At 37.2% G+C, this 17,743-nt stretch overlaps 1 protein-coding gene across 3 annotated transcripts in view; it reads left to right on the top strand.

Annotated features, from left to right (window-relative positions):
- The window catches only part of CSMD1 (CUB and Sushi multiple domains 1), a 2,059,554-nt gene that overhangs the window by 1,372,427 nt on the left and 669,384 nt on the right, over positions 1 to 17,743 (top strand). For all 3 annotated transcript variants that reach the window (XM_011534752.3, NM_033225.6, XM_017013731.2), the window contains exon 8: positions 5,691 to 5,778. In XM_011534752.3, the coding sequence (XP_011533054.1) occupies positions 5,691 to 5,778 (88 nt within the window). The remainder of the gene's footprint in view (positions 1 to 5,690; positions 5,779 to 17,743) is intronic.

Genomic DNA, 17,743 nt, shown 5'->3' with positions numbered 1-17,743 from the left:
GCCATTTCTTTTAACTGCTATTCCTTGTGAGAAAAATAGAAAAGGAGACATGCAAGTGGGCCTTTGTAAGCCTTGGTGTGTTGTATTTTCAACCAGTTTGGGTATTGTGGAAAAGTGCATTAACTACCAAGCTAGAGTCTATTATTTCTGACAAACATCAATGATAGTCGTTCATCTTGATGAAGCTGTTTTAATTTGCCACAGCAATAATGATTTTGCTTGAGGTAGTATAGAAGACATCCAGCCTGTGATGGCAGAAAGAATAAACGTGGCAGAAGTAACAATCTGCATTACATTTTGAAATTATTAAAGCTAAATGCATTTACAAGATAAATTTCAGAGAGCTAGTAGTAGACCACTGCTTACTCATTGAGAACTGTACCCCAGCACATAGTGCAGACTGTGAAAACATGGGCTTGAAGAGAAAAGTAGTAGAGTATCAGAATGTTAGAAATACAGACCTATTCAAACACACACACACACACACACACACACATACACACACACACAAAGAGAGAGAGAGACATAAGACAGAAGTAACATCAGGCTTGCTGGTTTTAACCATTATAAGCATACACTTCTGGTTGGACACGATAACTTACTGTAATTCCAGCACTTTGGGACGTCGAGGTGGGAGAATTGTTTGAGCCCAGGAGTTTGAGACCAGCCTGGGCAATATGGTGAAACCCTGTTTCTACAAAATAATAATAATAATAATAAAATAATAATAATAATAAAACATTAGCTGGGAGTGGTGGCATGCACCTGTAGTTGCAGCTATTTGGGAGGATTGCTGGAGCATGGAAGACGAAGGCTGCAGTGAGCCATGATTATGCCACTGCACTGCAGCCTGGGCAACAGAACAAGATTCTGTCTCAAAAAAAGAAAAAAAAGTAAGAAAAGAAAAGTAAAAACCATGCATTTCTGTGGCTTTAAATATATTGATGCTATTGTACATCCATCACCACTATTCATCTCTGTAAATTTTCATCATACTCCGCTGAAGTACTTTACACAATAACACCTTATATTCCTTCTTCTCTTTCCCTTTGCCCCAGCCCCTGGCAAAACCATCATTCTACTTTCTGGCTCTCTGACTTTGATTACTCTTCGTTTTTAACCTCTTTGTGTCCTTACGCCTAAAGTGAGTCTCTTGTGGGCAACATACAGTTGCATTCTGTTACTTATTAACTTACTATTCAACGCCTCCTGCCAACCTATGTCTTTGGTTTGGGGTGATTCATTTTCGAGGGCTGCCATAAAAAAAGTGCTACGCTACTCGCCGAGTGGCTTAAACAACAGAAATTCACTTTACCACAATTCTAGAGGGTAGAAGCCTGAGATCAAGGTTTGGGCAGGGTTGGTTTCTTCTAAGCGCTCTCTCCTTGTCTTGTGGATGACTCTCTTCTTGTGTCTTCACATGGACTTTCCTTTATGTATTCTTCTGCTAACTTACCCTTCTTAGAAGGGCACCAGTCATGTTGGATTAGGGCTCACCTTAAGGATGACACTTTAAGTTAATTACCTCTTTAAAGTCTCTATCTCCAAATACAGTCAATTGTGAGGTACTGGTGTTTAGAACTTCAAGGTGTAACCCTTTGCGGGGAGGAGGGACATAATTCAGCCTAAAACAGGGCGTTAAATCAATTTATATTTAAAATAATTATTTAAAGGGTAGCTCTGACTTTTACCATTTTGTTGTTATTCAATTTTCATATGTCTTTCAGCATTTTTGTCCCTCCTTTGTCCCATTACTGTTATCCTCTATGTTTAGTTGATATTTTTGTAGTGTCACGTTGTGATTGTCTTCTCTTTTCTTTTTTACATATTCTATAGATACTTTCTTTATGGTTTCCATGGAGATAACATATAACATCCTACAATGATGGCAGTATCTTAAATTGACACCAGTTTACTTCATTCATATACGAAAACTTCAATCCTTACAAGTCTGCTCCCTTACTTTATGCTATTGCTGTTGTAAATTACATCTTTATATATAATGTAACTATTAGCGTAAATGCATAATTATTTTATGCATTTATCTTTAAATACTGTAGGAAATGAACATGGGGGTTTTAAGTCAAACTTAGTATAATACTTTTTTATATATATTTTCATGTATTTACCTGTACTAGGGACCCTTTTCTTTTCATGAGGCTTCAAGTGACTGTGTAGTGCCCTTTCATTTCAACTTGAAGGACTTTCTTGTAGGGAACATACATTGGTAATAAACTCACTCTATTTTGATTATCTGGGAGTGTCTTAATTTCCCTTTCATTTTTGAAGGATGGTTTTCCTAGATGTAGAATTTTCAGCTGACATTTTTTCAGCAATTAAATATATTATCCATTGCTTTTCTTTTCTTTTCTTTTCTTCTTTTCTTCAGTTGGAGCCTTGCTCTGTTGCCCAGGCTAGAATGCAGGGGCACAGTCTCAGCTCACTGCAACATCTGCCTCCCAGGTTCAAGCTATTCTCCTGTCTCAGCCTCCCAAGTAGCTGGGATTACAGGTGCCTGCCACCATGCCTGGCTGATTTTTATATTTTTAGTAGAAATGGGGTTTCACTATGTTGGCCAGGCCAGTCTTGAATTCCTGACGTCAAGTGATCCACCCACCTCAGCCTCCCAAAGTGTTGGAATTAAATACAAATTCTATTGAATATATTACGTTGTGTGAGCCACCGTGCCCAGCCTATCCATTGCTTTCTAACCTGTGAAATGTCTATGGAGAAACCTGTTGATAGTCTTATTATGGATCCCTTGTTTATGAGGACTTGCTTTTCTCTTTCTGCTTTTAAGATTCTCTCTTTTTCTTTGGCTCCTAACAGTTTGATTATTATGTGTCTTGCTGTGGATCTCTTGATGTTTATCCTACTAGGTGTTCATTAATCTCCTTGAATTTGTACATCTATGTCTTTCCTCAAATTTGGAAAGTTTATATTCCTTTATTTAAATTCATATCTATAATTGTTGTTGTAAATTCATTGTCTAGCAAGTCTGATGCATATATTTCTTCAGTGACTGTATCTAGAGATTTATTTCGACCCTTTGAATGGCCATGTTTCCCTCTTTCTTTGTATGCCTTGTGGTTTTTGTTAAAAAAAAATAAGCATTTGAAAAAAATTAACTACCGTGCTCCATGTTTGCAGAACACGGTAGAAAATGTTCACTAATTAGTGGGCCTCTGAACGTTGAGATCAACCTGGACTGAAGACTTTAGGTGTTTTCACGTTTTTGGGGGGTACATGTCCTGTCTGGGTTTGTGTGTACATTTTGCTGTATTTTTGTTTTTATTTTTTTCCCCAGCTGCTTTTAAACATATTAATATTCCAAAGAATCTAACCTCATCTTCTCATTGGGACCTTAGATATGTGTTCTATTGTATTCCTCTGCCTGGAATCCCTTACCCCAGTGTACCCATGGGTTTGCAATCTTGCTGCAGTTTTCTATACAGCAGTGCTTGTCACAGCCTTTCATGGCTGCTAGCCAGAGATCCCAATTATGCCGCCCTTCCTCATCTGACCTGCAAGTCAGGAAAGACAGAGCTCAGTCTCTCAGGCAGCCCACAGAGCGACCATCGTGCTGCCAGCCACTTTCTCTCTGCTTCTTCATACCTAGAGAGGAAACTGGTCACTGGGCCGCTTCCTCTCAACTGCACTGTGCCACGCAAGTCATGGTATGAAACAAGGGAGAGTAAGACATCATGAAATATAGTCCTATTTTGAACATCTTTTTCTTCATTGGGCATTTGCTTGGTTGTTACAGATTTTTTTACTGTCATTTAGCGCTCCTGTAAAATTATTTTAATCTTCTGGTAGTCATTTCTTTGGTGTTTCCATAGGGAAATACAGGTCTGGAGCTTTCTGTCTCACTATCTACTGATGCTATCACCAAACTTGCTGGATTATTTTGATATAATATTGAGAAAATTAAACATTTAGAAAATAAAATTTTGGAATTCAATATAATTGTCACATCATGCAGCAAAATAATGTTTAGATGTTATTAAAAAAAACTTATTTTAAAAAAGAAATAAAAATACCTAAAAAATATCTTAACCCGTTTGGAATAGTGAAGTACTTACTAAGAATGAAACCACATAATATATTCAATAGAATTTGTATTTAATGAAGGATTATGTTACCCAAATTTATTCTCATTTAGTAGTAAAAGATAAATTTTGACTGGGTGTGGTTGCACATGTCTGTAACCCCAACACTTTAGGAGGCCACAGTGCGAGTGTCACTTGAGCCAGGAGTTTGAGACCAGTCTGGGAAACATAGTGAGACTCCATCTCTAGAAAAGATTTTTTTTTTAATTATCTGGGCACGGTGGCACAAGCCTGTGTTACCAGCTATTAGGGAGGCTGAGACGGGAGTATCGCTTGATCCTGGGAGGTTGAGGCTGCAGTGATCCATGATTGTGCCACTGCACTCCCACCTGGGCAACAGAGTGAGATCCTGTCTCAAAACAAACAAACTAAGCTAAACTTGATATGATTACTGTTGTTTTTATGGTAATTTTAATCAAATGCTTCACGAGTTCCACATATACCCAGACATATTATTTTCTTCTCACGGAATTATTTAAAATATTTGTGAGAAAATGTATATTTATATGTATACCTTTCAGCTACAAATAATAGAATCAGCTATTCATTGGATTTACGCTATAGTAAATCAGCTATAATAAATACAACAGAATGTTCAGAATTGCGACATTGCTCCTAAATTGGTTGATTTTCTGCCTTAACAATAAGGTAGCAGGTCCAGGTTCTTGACACATCTTTTCTGTTGCATACATGCTGTTGTCTCCATCCTTGGATTATAGGAAAATGGCAGCAATAGTTCTACATTTGAAACCTGGACACAGAAATTTTCAGAGTAAAATAGATATGCACTTTATTAGCATCCTGTAATGTTTCCCAGAAGTACTCCTGTGGACTTCCCCTCACATCTCATTATACTGAATTGGGTCCCAAGCCCTCTGCTAAGCAAATTCCTGGGAGAAAAAAAAAGAAATGTGTTAGTTTGATTAGACAAATTATACAGGATGAAATGAATGTTGAAGTGAGAGCTACTCTATCCAATAAACAAATGAGTTCTTTAGAAATTATTCTGTGATGGTGCAAGTCCCAACAGGAGAAAAGTTTTTCCATGAAATTCGAGAAATAAATCAGTGCATTTGAACAAAGAAACCATTATGGGTTTTAGTTCAATGATAAGCACTTCAATGTTTAAAATATACATAATGTTATTTAAAGTATCTTTTGTATAGAAGTTAGTAAATATCATCTCTGTTGTCATCTATGGGAATAAGTGAAGACTTTCTTCTCTCTAAGTGTATGCGTTTTTCTCATAATGCTGTTTTTCTGATCATGCTGTTAATTGTGACCTGGCATAAAAGTAATCATAAGGACCAAATGAGATTTTTTATTAAATTTTGACATCTTAAAAATGAGAGAAATAAAACCAAAGATTATCATCCTTTCACTGGAAAACACATGTTTGATTTTCACCAATCAGAATATAAACACTTATTTGAATGTATTTAAGGTGTCTTAATTCCTTTGGAGATCACATTTTAAGTCATTATCATTAAAGAACTGAAAATGCCTAGAATAAATTTTTTATCTGGGTATTTCCTCAATAACTATACAGCATTTTGACAATGTTTCTGTCTATTACAGTGAGCCAAGGAGGTGTTGCATTGGTCTCTGACATGTGTCCAGATCCTGGGATTCCAGAAAATGGTAGAAGAGCAGGTTCCGACTTCAGGTAAGAGATACAATAGTGGTGGAAAAAAGCATGTTATTTTTAAGACATATATTATTTCAGCTTGCAGTTAAATTTAACTCTTTTGTTCTTTTGAGGTAAAGATAAAACTTCTTAATCATTAACTCTAAATGTGTGTAATCACAATTTGTCTTCAGAGATTTTGTTTTTTGTTTATAATCTGTTAAAAGTTCTGTATTAGTCCCTTCTCACACTGCTAATAAAGGCATACCAGAGAGTGGGTAATTTATAAAGGAAAGACGTTTAATTGACTCATAGTTCAGCATGGTTGAGGAGGTCTCAGGAAACTTACAATCATGGCAGAAGGGGAAGCAAACACATCCTTCTTCATATGGTGACAGGAAGGAGAAGAATGAGCGAAGTGGAGGAAAATCCTCTTAAAAAACCATCAGATCTCATGAGAACTCACTCACTAACATGAGAACAGCATGAGGGTAACTGACCCCATGATTCAATTGCCTCTCACCGGTCCCTCCCATGACATGTGGAGATTATGGATGCTACAGTTCCAGATGAGATTTGCGTGGGGACAGAGCCAAACCATGTAAATGTCATATTCCAATTCTTTTAATGTTTAAAGATAGAAGGTAAAATATTTAATTATCTCCTCATAGTTATTTCATTAAAAAACTTTAGGAATGATGCATGTTAGTATCAGTCAGTAAAGTTTATTCAGAAAATGCATATCATTTTACTAGGATTATGGTGAACTAGATACTGATTTTCTGTTGCTACATTATGAATACAGTAGTGATTATAATAGTCCTATTACTTTAGATTTTTGCACTTATTTCAGTGAGTTCAAGAAATGTAACATTTTCCATCTTACAAGATGGATGCAATTATTAGAAGCAGCTGTAAAATAAAATAGTAAAGAGAAACAAGATATGTGTTTTTCCTTCTTACAATGTCACCATTTTTGAAAAAAATCCAAAAAAAGGTTCACAGAGCTAAGGCTGCTGAAGTGGGCTACAAATGGAAGAAAAGTACTGCTACTATTAGAGAGGAAAGAAGGAATGTTTTTTAGTTAAATTGGAGTAACAACGGTCGTTTTAAAAGCAATAGAAAAATAAGAAAACTGTAGTGTGTCTATATTGAAGTTGGTAAAATGGTATATTGTTTTACATGAAAAGCATACAAAGTATAGATGTGAAGAAATAGTGTCGGAATGGATATAGGTTAACTATTACACATCTTGACTAATATATTAAGAAGTTTGTGTTTTCGCTGAAATCCATTTGAGGCAGAGCTTGAGATGAAATTTCTTATTGAAGTGATTTATTGGAAAAGTGGTCTCTGGAGGAGGGGAGTAGAGGAAGTGGAATAGAATTGGAGTAAAGAGCTAAGCAGAAGGATGTTTTTACTGGAGACTCACTTCAGTCTGTTTCCATGGCGAGTTCTGGGGCACAAACTGTACTGACAAGCAGGCCTCACCTTTTGTACCCACTTTGCTGTCTGTCAATAAATGGCTTCCTTCCTTTGGCTCAAGGAAGTTCTCCAGAGGAAGAGTTGGTTGTGAACAGTTATTAGCAATGCAGTGAGTGTGGTGTGTGGATGCACCAGCTGGCAGCTAACAGAAGGATGCTGGTTTCCAGTATCATATTAGAAAACAGCAGTCATTTGAAGTCATTCAGGAATTTTATCTCTTTTGAAAACAAAGCAACGAAATAAAATTGCCCATTCTTCCAAGGGCTCCCCATTCTATGTATTCCTTCCTTGTGTCAACAGTCATGTCTTTCATGTCCCTCTTGTCGAGGAAAAATCTTCTTCCTGCTTCCCTTCCCTTTCCTTCTGTGCCCCTTTGTCAGAGTTGACAACAGTGCATCATCACGATGTGCTCACACATCTGTTTTCTCACCTGTCTTAAGCGTCTCCAGAATGGAGAGTGTCTTATCTTTGCATCCTCAGTGACTAAAACTGTGCGTGGCACAAAGAAACTCATCTATGTGTGATATATACTTTGTGTATCAGAGGAACTGCCCATCTTGTATCCTGTCATCCCAGAAACCTAGAAACTTCTTTGGTGAATTTTGCAGAGCTGTATTCTAAAAACAAAACAAATTAACTCATATCTGAGAATATCAAATTCTTCAAATTGCACTTCATGTTTTAAAAAAATGACAGAGGAAATGCTTAAGCTTTAAAAGTTAACAGGGAAGTTGTGAATATTCAGGCCAATGTCTTCTTAGCACATGGGCAATCATGGAAGTTTTAATCATATCCTAGGTGAGTAAGCCAATCTTTACTCCATTTCATTCTCAGATCAGACTTATTTCTGAAGAAGAGGTTTAAATTCAGGATGAACATTAAGTCTGAGGGCTGTGTTGATCTGGCTCGGGGGGCGGTGTAGGGAGAATCTAGGTTGTGCAGACGTATAGCCCGTCAGGGAAAGAATATAGATAAGGTTTCTGTAGAATCTTATCTCAGAAGAGAATTTCAATCTGTCACTTTCCTAGTTTTTTGGGAAATCACTATGTTGTTTATATGTCTCTATGTTTGTAGCAATAGAAATCAAATGCCATAACACCTGGGAAGATGATTTGAAAGATTAAATTTTCTCTTAAATACACATGTAAAATGTTATTTGTATCGTCTATGGTGTGTGTATGTGTATACGAATATATACATAACAGAGACAAGCTAGTTATATAGTAGCTTTTTTGATAGATTTCCTAGAACTTTCTCCCTAGGTGATTTTGTTATCTACAAATAAAAGGATTTTTAATTTTTGCTTTCCAATCGGATTTTTTTTATTTCTTTTTCTTCTTTAAATGTATTGGTAAGAAACTATTTTACAAGATTGAGTAGAAATGGTGAGACATCTCTGCCTTTATTCCTGAGCTTAGGTGGAAAGTGTTCTGGCTTTCATTATAGTTATGACATTGCTTGTTGGTTTTTCATAGATGCCCTTTATCAGTTTGAGGAAGTATCCTTCTGTTTGTAATTTTTTGAGGTGTGTGTGTGTGTGTGTGTGTGTGTGTGTGTGTGTTTTAATCTGACATGAATTTGGAATTTTTTCAAAAGTTTCTACATCTATTGACATGACCATTTTTTGTTTGTATATTTTGTGAATATGAGGGCTTAACTAATTTCCCTAAGTTAAAAACTCATATTCTGAAATAATATTAATTTGTAATGATGTTTTTTTCTTTTTATGGATTGTTGAATTTGACTTGTTAAAATGTTGTTTAGTTTTTTTACAGGTATTTTTATGAGTTATGATAGGCTGTAGACTTTTCTTATAAAGACTTTGTTGTTCCTGTCAGAGTAAAAATGGTCTCAAAATTAATTGAAAAATGTTCTCTTCTCTGGAATACCATAGAAGAGTTTGTGTATAATTGTTAATATTTCATTGCTAAATGTTTGGAATAATTCACCAGGGAAGCTACCTGGAATTGGAATTTTCTTACAAGTAGGTTTTTAATTACGGATTGAATTTCTTTTCTACTTACAGGCTTATGTAGATGATCTACTTCTACTTCAGTGAGCTTTGATAGTGTGTATCTTTCAAGAAATTATAAATTTTAATCTAAGTTGTCAAATTTGTTGGCTTAAAATTATTCTTATCTTTCTTTATTATCCTTTAAATGAGTAGTAATTTCACAGCTCAAATTCTTGATATTCATATTTTTAAAAAAATTTTACTTGTTCCATCTGCCTATTAACATGTCAATATTATTGAACTTCTCAAAAAAATACAATTTACTTTTACATACATTTCTGTATTGTTTAGTTTCTCTTCAATTTCATTGATTTCTGCTCTGACCTCTTATTAATTTATTTCCTCTGTTTACTATGGGCTCCATTTGTTCTTCTTTTTCTAGTCTCTTAAAGTTGAAGCTGAGATCAGTGATTTAAGACCTTTATTCTTTCTAAATGTGGGTATTTACTGCTATCAATTTTCCTCTAAGTAATGCTTTGGCTGCATCTCTTCAATTTTGATATGCTGTGTTTTCATTTTCCTGCAGCTTGAATTACATTCTATTTTCCCTTGTGATTACTTTTTTGTTCCATGATTTATTTGAAAGTTTTCTATTTTGTTGCCATATACTGAACATTTTCTAAGAATCTGCATGGTTAGAGATTATGCTTTAAAGGATCTGAACTTTAAAAAATGTTTTGATAATTGCTTTATGGGCAAGAATATGCTCTATCTTGGTAAATGTTCCATGACCACTTGAAAATAACACATATTTTAGTGTTGTTGGGTGAAGTGTTCCATAAATGTCAGTTAGATCAAGTTGGTTGACAGTGTTGTTCAAGGCTTTGTGATCCCTACTAATTTTCTTAACACTTGTCAGATCTGTGATTGAGAGAGATTTATCTAAATCATCTACTAAAATTGTGAATCTGTCTATTTCTCATTGCAGCTTTATCAGTTTTTGCTTCATGTATTTTGAAGCTCTGTAATTAGGTACGCAAATGTTTAAAATTGCTGTGTATTTTTGTTTCTTCAATACCTTTTGTTATGAAATGACTTTCTTTACCCTGAGTAACATTTTTTACTCTGAAATCAAATTTGTCTTACATTTGCATAGCCATTTTAGCTTTCTTTGAATTATTGTTAGTCTATAATATATGGATTGTTATATATGTTTCTATATTCAATCTGTTGCACAACATTGTTTTAATTAAATATTTTTAAAAATCCAGTTGTACATATAGCTGAAAAGGAAATTAGTATTTTAAAAATCTTTTCAAATAACTGAGTATATTATTTGATACTATAACAAAAATTGGCAAATGATGTCATCTTAAATTTTAGATGCAATTTGGATATGGGGTTTTGAAAATAAACATTTTTTATTTTCTTACATCAAAATTTATTGGCTGAACTTCTGTCCTAAATTAATTTTTTGTATATGCATGATTTTGTACCTCATACATTGGTCATTTGAAAATAATGATTCATCGAGTTATGAGTTCTTTCAAATATTTATACATTGTCCTATACATTATTTACAAAAATACATTTGTTGATATTACCATGTATTTCATTAGGAGGATCTGAAAGCATTGAAAAACTGTCAAACTCATGATGATAGATACCAGCTTTTGAAAATTTTCTAATTTTCGTTAGAAAATTACAAATGAAAATTACAATTTTATTACTAATGAAAATTAGAAAACTTTAACTTTGTCATGGGCTCAAATTTTGTCATTTTCCTTGAAGTAAAAGACTCATTCAGTTTTTATAAATAAGTGAGAGATACTCCAATCTTAGCAGTGATAGTTGGTCTATCGTTCTTTAAATTAAGAGGAGTTCAGTAGAAAAGCAAGCAGCCAGCTCAACTCAAAACTCAAACAATTACATAGATGTTTGTTCCTCCAGAGCTCCCTCAGGCTTCACCAAGCCCTAGAGACACATTACGTATTCAAGTGTTATGATTTATTAAAACAATCATTTTCCCTGCTCCCTCAAGGACTTTCTTTTTTTTTTTAATTTAACTTTATTATTATTATACTTTAAGTTTTTAGGGTACATGTGCACAATGTGCAGGTTAGTTACGTATGTATACATGTGCCATGCTGGTGTGCTGCAGCCATTAACTCGTCATTTAGCATTAGGTATATCTCCCGATGCTATCCCTCCCCCCTCCCCCCACCCCACAACAGTTCGCAGAGTGTGATGTTCCCCTTCCTGTGTCCATGTGTTCTCATTGTTCAGTTCCCACCTATGAGTGAGAACATGCGGTGTTTGGTTTAAGTGACACTGCACCTTTTCTCTCCTACTGCCTGGTGCTGTTGCTTGACTGGTGCGAAATCGCCATCAGTTTTTCCCATCATTGTTTCTGCACTGTCAATGGAAAAGGCAACTCAGTGAAGAAGGCACATAACACCTTAGAGTATTGTAAAATGATTTTGACCTCACAGACCTTCTAAAATTCCACCTTTCCAGGCATCTGTGGGGCACACCTTAAAAAGAGATGCATTAAGTATGCAATTCTACTGAGCATAAAAATTATAATTGGAGTTAAGAGAAAGAACATATGAAGAAAGAAACATTATAGTAAGATATTTGCTATGTTACAAGAAAAATTGAGTTGAATTGAAGTGAATGTCATCTATACTGGTAGCTTAGGATTGTGTAGTGATCATGGGCATCTGATGTACATGACCTATATTTATATGTGTACATGACCTATATTATATACTTATATGACCTATTTATTTTTATAGAGACAATCTGTTACTTGTCACTCAGCCTGGAGTACTGTAATCTCGAACTCCAGGGCTCAAATGATCGTCCCACTTCGATCTCCTGTGTAGTTGGGAGTATAAGCATGAGCCACTGACTCAATTAATTTGTTAAAAGATTTTTGTAAAGACAAGGTCTCGCTGTGTTGCCTAGGCTGGTTTCTAACTCCTGGCCTCAAGCAGTCCTCCCTCCTTGACATTCAAAATTGCTGGAATTACTGATACCGTGCCCAGCCCACATATCGATTTATTGTTTATATCTACTATTTATGTTCCATGGGATAGTAAAACCCATTGTATTCATATGGAAGCTGCTGGACTACAGCCAAGTAAGGATGCCTTATGACACTTAGATGAAATGACACATGGTGGGCCTCTCATATAATCAGTTCATTACAAATGTTGATGTTTTAAAAGGAGGGAAGGCTGGGTGCTGTAGGCTAAGGTGGGTGAATCTCGAGGTCAGGATTTTGAGACCAGCCTGGCCAACAAGTTGAAATCCTGTCTCTACTAAAAATACAAAAATTAGCTGGGCATGTTGGTGTGCGCCCGTAGTCCCAGCTACTTGGGAGGCTGAGGCAGGAGAATCGTTTGAACCCAGGAGCCGAGATCGCACCACTTCACTTCAGCCTGGGGGACAGAGCAAGACTCTGTCTCAAAAAAAAAAAAAAAAAAAAAAAAAGGGAAGATACTTTTTAACAGTCTTTTCTTTTGAGACTCTCTTTAATGAAAGGTAATTCGGTTTTTTTTTTTTTAAATTCTTATAATCAAAACTAATGACTAACATGTAATCCAAACTAACAACCAACAAGGCCAAGATGCGTAGATGAGCTCATTTGCAGTGTAGCCCTTGTAAATATGTAACTTGGGGCTGTTTTGTTAAAAAGAGTTCACTTTTTTAGGCTGGTAAAATATTCCTCATCTGGTTTCATTTATAGTATTATTCTGGGTTCTTGAGAAATCCCTTTTCCGTAGACAACCTAAATATTAATTCTATCATTATGTATAAAATACCCGAAGAAAATAAAGCATAAAATACAAAGCTTGCTTATTTGAATTCAAGTCAGTTTGGGGACAGTTTGCTGACAGTATTTTTCACCATAGACCACTGTCTAAAAGACAAAGTGTATTCATCACAATTGAATATTTATCAGTAAGATTGATGGAAGTATTCAAATACCAATATCTGAGGGAGGGAGCTCAGATTGGTATTGAGAATTTATGGGTGGGTACTGTCATCTATTGTTCATCTGTCTTTCTGTGCTAACAGGATATGTAGCCTATGTCCAGGCAGATGTAATTATCCTCATGTTTATAAGTAGAAGCGTTGAAATTCAGAACGCTAACCTAACAAAGTGCTATATCTTGTCAGAGTCAGAGCTGGATCCTACTGATATCAAAGCTTCTATTGACCTTGGTAGTTTGTAACACAGATAATTATAATAGAAGTTTTTACACTCACTATGCAGGACCGCTGGAAAGGGGTGTGTAGTGTGCGGACTTCACAAAGTAGCCAATGAGGAGTCAAGGTATGGTTGAAATTTGCCCTTGAGCTCAGCATTCCAAGCCCTGCAGCTTAGCATGCATTGCATATGCTGAGCAGAAGGACAATCTTGGTTTAATTGATCACTGCAAGGGGTGTGTCATGTTGTAATTGGCACCACGGATCCACATAGACTAGCATTGGCCGTGATGCACACTGCTGGACGTTATGATTTTTTTTTTTTTTTGAGACAGAGTCTCACTCTGTTGTCCAGGCTGGAGTGCAGTGGCATGATGTCGGCTTACTGCAGCCTCCACCTCTCAAGTTCAAGCAATTCTCCTGCCTCAGCCTCCTGAGTAGCTGGGATTACAGGCGTGTGCTACCATGCCCGGCTAATTTTTTTGCATTTTTAATAGAGACGGGGTTTCACTATGTTGGCCAGGCTCGTCTCAAACTCCTGACCTCGTGATCCACCCACCTTGGCCTCCCTAAGTGCTGGGATTACAGGCGTGAGCCACAGCGCCCAGCCATATTTTTTTAATATATAATTTCAAATTCTTCTATCCTTTTAAGAACATTTCAAAGATGCTGAAACTGAACTTAGGGAGCTCCCTGAATTCTCTGAAACTTGAGCTTCTCAACTGCTTCCATGTCCCTTTTCTCTTTTCTTCCACAATGTGGCCCCCTTCATGTCTATCCATAAAGAGCTCCATGTGGCCACAGCCCTGATTCTGCATGAGCTGCAATATCTGTCCTGACACTACCTCCTCTGCAGGTGGCACCTGCCCACCTTCAGTGTCCTGTCTTTCTTCCTTTACTTTTTTTTTTTTTTTTTTTGAGATGGCTTCTTGCTCTGTTGCCCAGGCTGGAGGGCAGTGGCACAATCTTGGCTCACTGCAACCTCTCCACCTCCCAGGTTCAAACAATTCTCCGGCCTCAGCCTCCTGAGTAGATGGCATTACAGGCACATACCACCACGGCTGGCTAATTATTTTGTATTTTTAGTAGAGACAGGGTTTTCCCATGTTTGCCAGGCTGGTCTTGAACTCCTGACCTCAAGTGATCCGCCTGCCTTGGCCTCCCAAAGTGCTGGGATTACAGGCATGAACCACTGTGCCTGGCTACTTCCTTTACTTCTTAGTCATGTTCTTCCTCAAGTATCATCTCCTTTCTGCCACACCAACACCAGCCATGCTGATTCTTCTCATTTGAGTCTTTCCACAAAGGAGTATTGCCAGTTAATGGAGATACAGAGGAGGGGCTTTAATAGGCAAAACCGACTGATATGGAATAGTTCTCCGTAAAATTTTTTGTTCTTTTTGTAAATAGAATATCCAGTCATACACTGCCTAACAATGGACTGCATATATGATGGTTTTCCCTTAAGATTTTAATGGAGCTGAAAGATTTCCATTGCCTGGTGATCTCCTAGCTCTGCTCCCTCCCAGCACAGAGCAGTCCTCACATGTTTGCGGCAGTCTTGATGTAAGACAGATGTACTGTGCTGCCAGTCACAGAAAAGGCTAGCACATACTTGATAATGAGAATCAATGACTGTCTTAGTAGTTCATGCATTTACAATGGTATACTTTCTACTGTTATTTTAGAGTATACTCCGTCTGCTTATAAAAAACACAAAAGTTAACTGTAAACAGCCCCAGGCAGGTCCTTCAGGTGGTATCCAGAAGAAGGAATTGTGATCATTGGACATGACAGCTTCATTTATGTGTGTCCTTGCCCCTGAAGACTTCCCAGTGGGACAAGCTGTGGAGGTGGAAAACAGTGATATTAATGATCCTGACGTCGTGCAGGCCTAGGCTAGTGCGCTTGTTCATGTTTTAGTTTATAACAAAAGGTTTAGAAAGTAAAAAGAACAATAGAAAAAAGCTTGTGAAATAAAAATATTAAGAAAAAACACTTTTGTACAGCTGTACTATGTGTTTGTGTCTTAAACTGAGTATTATTGCAAAAAACTCACAAGTTAAAAACTGTAACACGGTAGGCCAGGCACGGCGGCTCACGCTTGTAATGCCAGCACTTTGGGAGGCTGAGGTGGGCAGATCATGAGATTAAGAGATCGAGACCATCCTGGCCAACATGGTGAAACCCTGTCTCTACAAAAATACAAAAAAATTTGCCGGGCGTGGTGGCAGGTGCCTGTAGTCCCAGCTTCTTGGGAGGCTGAGACAGGAGAATCACTTGAACCCAGGAAGTGGAGGTTGCGCTGAGTGGAGATCACGCCACTGTACCCCAGCCTGGGGACCCAGTGAGACTCTGTCTCAAAAAAAAAAAAAAAATTGTAACGAAGTAAAATTGTTACAGTAAGTTAAGGTTAATTTATTATTGAAGAAAGAAAAGCATTAATAAATTTATAGTGGCCCAAGGATACAGTGTTTCTAAGGTCTACAGGAGTGTACAGTCATGTCCTAGGCCCTCACATTCACTCACCACTTACTGACTCACACAGAGCAACTTCCACCCTGCCAGCTCCATTCATAGGGAGTACCCTATATGAATGAGACATCTTCCGTCTTTCATACCATATCTTTTCTGCTCCTTTTCTATGTTTAGGTATACTTAGATATACGAACACTTACCATTGTGTTCAATTGCCTACAGTACTCAGTACAGTAACATGCCGTATGGGTTCATAGCCTGGGAGGACTAGGCTGTACCATGAAGCCCAGCTGTGTATCAGGCTACACCATCTGGGTGGGTGTAAGGGCCCTCTGTGATGTTCGCACAACCACCAAATTGCCTAACAATGCATTTCTCACACTGCATCCTGGCCTTAAAAGACAAGTGACTGCACCTTGGCCCATCTCTGTCCTCCCCCACCCACACGGTTGGCTTCTCTCTGCAGAACGAGGGGCTCTTTACACCCAGCTTCTTGTCATTTCCCGATTTCAACGTTTCCTAGCATCTTTGAGTTTTATACATGTATTTATGTTACTATCATCTCATTACAATCATGTGATTTTGTAGGAAAGGGGAGACGCCTTATTGATTTGATTTTATATGACCGGACCCCACACAAGGCAGAAGACTCCTCTGTTGAATGGATTAAACTGAGGCTAACAAGCCAGTCTCTAGGGATATATGGACATAACCTCATTAATAGTCTGCTAAACCAATTAAGTTAAGCACTGCTCATCAGAGAATAGATTAACAATTAAAATTAGAGTCATAACCTAGGCTCTAAAGGGAATTTGGGGGTTGAAAGAGTGCTATTTATGACTTAAAAACTGAATAGTTAATGTATGTCCTTGGTATGTGCATGTTACTATTCATGCTAATAACATCTGTTCTTTGTCTTAGCATATTTTTATCTCGAGGATACCATGTTTATTTTTCATTCTATTTTGAAATATGCTTTATGAATTATGTGTCATCAAACGGAAGGAGAAACTGAAGTACATTAAGGAAAAAAATTACATAATAAGAAGCAGAAACAAATCCATAGCCCATGTGTTGTGATAAACAACTGCTCATTTCTAGTTTCCACATTCAGTTATCTTAATTTTTTGTAGCGTATTGATAATTTTATTTATAGTTATTATAGTATTGCTGCATTGGTTTTATTATTTCTCCATTGTAGGTCAACTCCAGCGAGAGCAGAGGCACCTGTCTCTTGTTACATGAAAATGTAAAGAATTGCACTTATGGACTGTGTAGAAACCAGGGAGTAAATGTGGTGTTCTTTTCAGTAAGAATTGCTTTCATCTGGGCGCGATGGCGCACGCCTGTAAACCCAGCACTGTGGGAGGCCGAGGCGGGTGGATCACAAGATCAGGAGCTCGAGACCAGCCTAGTCAAAACAGGGAAACCCTGTTTCTACTAAAAATACAAAAATTAGCCAGACATGGCATGCGCCTGTAGTCCCAGCTACTCGGGAGGCTGAGGCAGGAGAATCACTTGAACCTGGGAGGCTGAGGTTGCAGTAAGCCGAGATGGCACCACTGCACTCCAGCAGTGACTCCTCAAAAGAAAAAAACAAAAGAACTGCTTTCTTTTAAGTTGTGTTATTGAATCATTTTTTTAAATGATGAAGAAATGAGGGAAACCAAAGGCACATTATAAATTTTATTATGAAAAGTGTCAAACAAGCCCAAGCCCAAAAGCAGGTGAACACAGAGCGTGGAGGTAGCTAGAGCCCCCTAGATAACTCTCACTGTTGTCTTCATCAAGAGAGAAATGCTATCACGTTGATGCCCTTGGATACCACAAGCAATAAAACTGCACACTCAGGTTATGCCCATGTGTCCA

Source organism: Homo sapiens, chromosome 8, assembly GCF_000001405.40.
Source record: "Homo sapiens chromosome 8, GRCh38.p14 Primary Assembly".
NCBI classification, from domain to species: Eukaryota; Metazoa; Chordata; class Mammalia; order Primates; family Hominidae; genus Homo; species Homo sapiens.
This window is presented reverse-complemented; position numbering and strand designations above follow the sequence as displayed.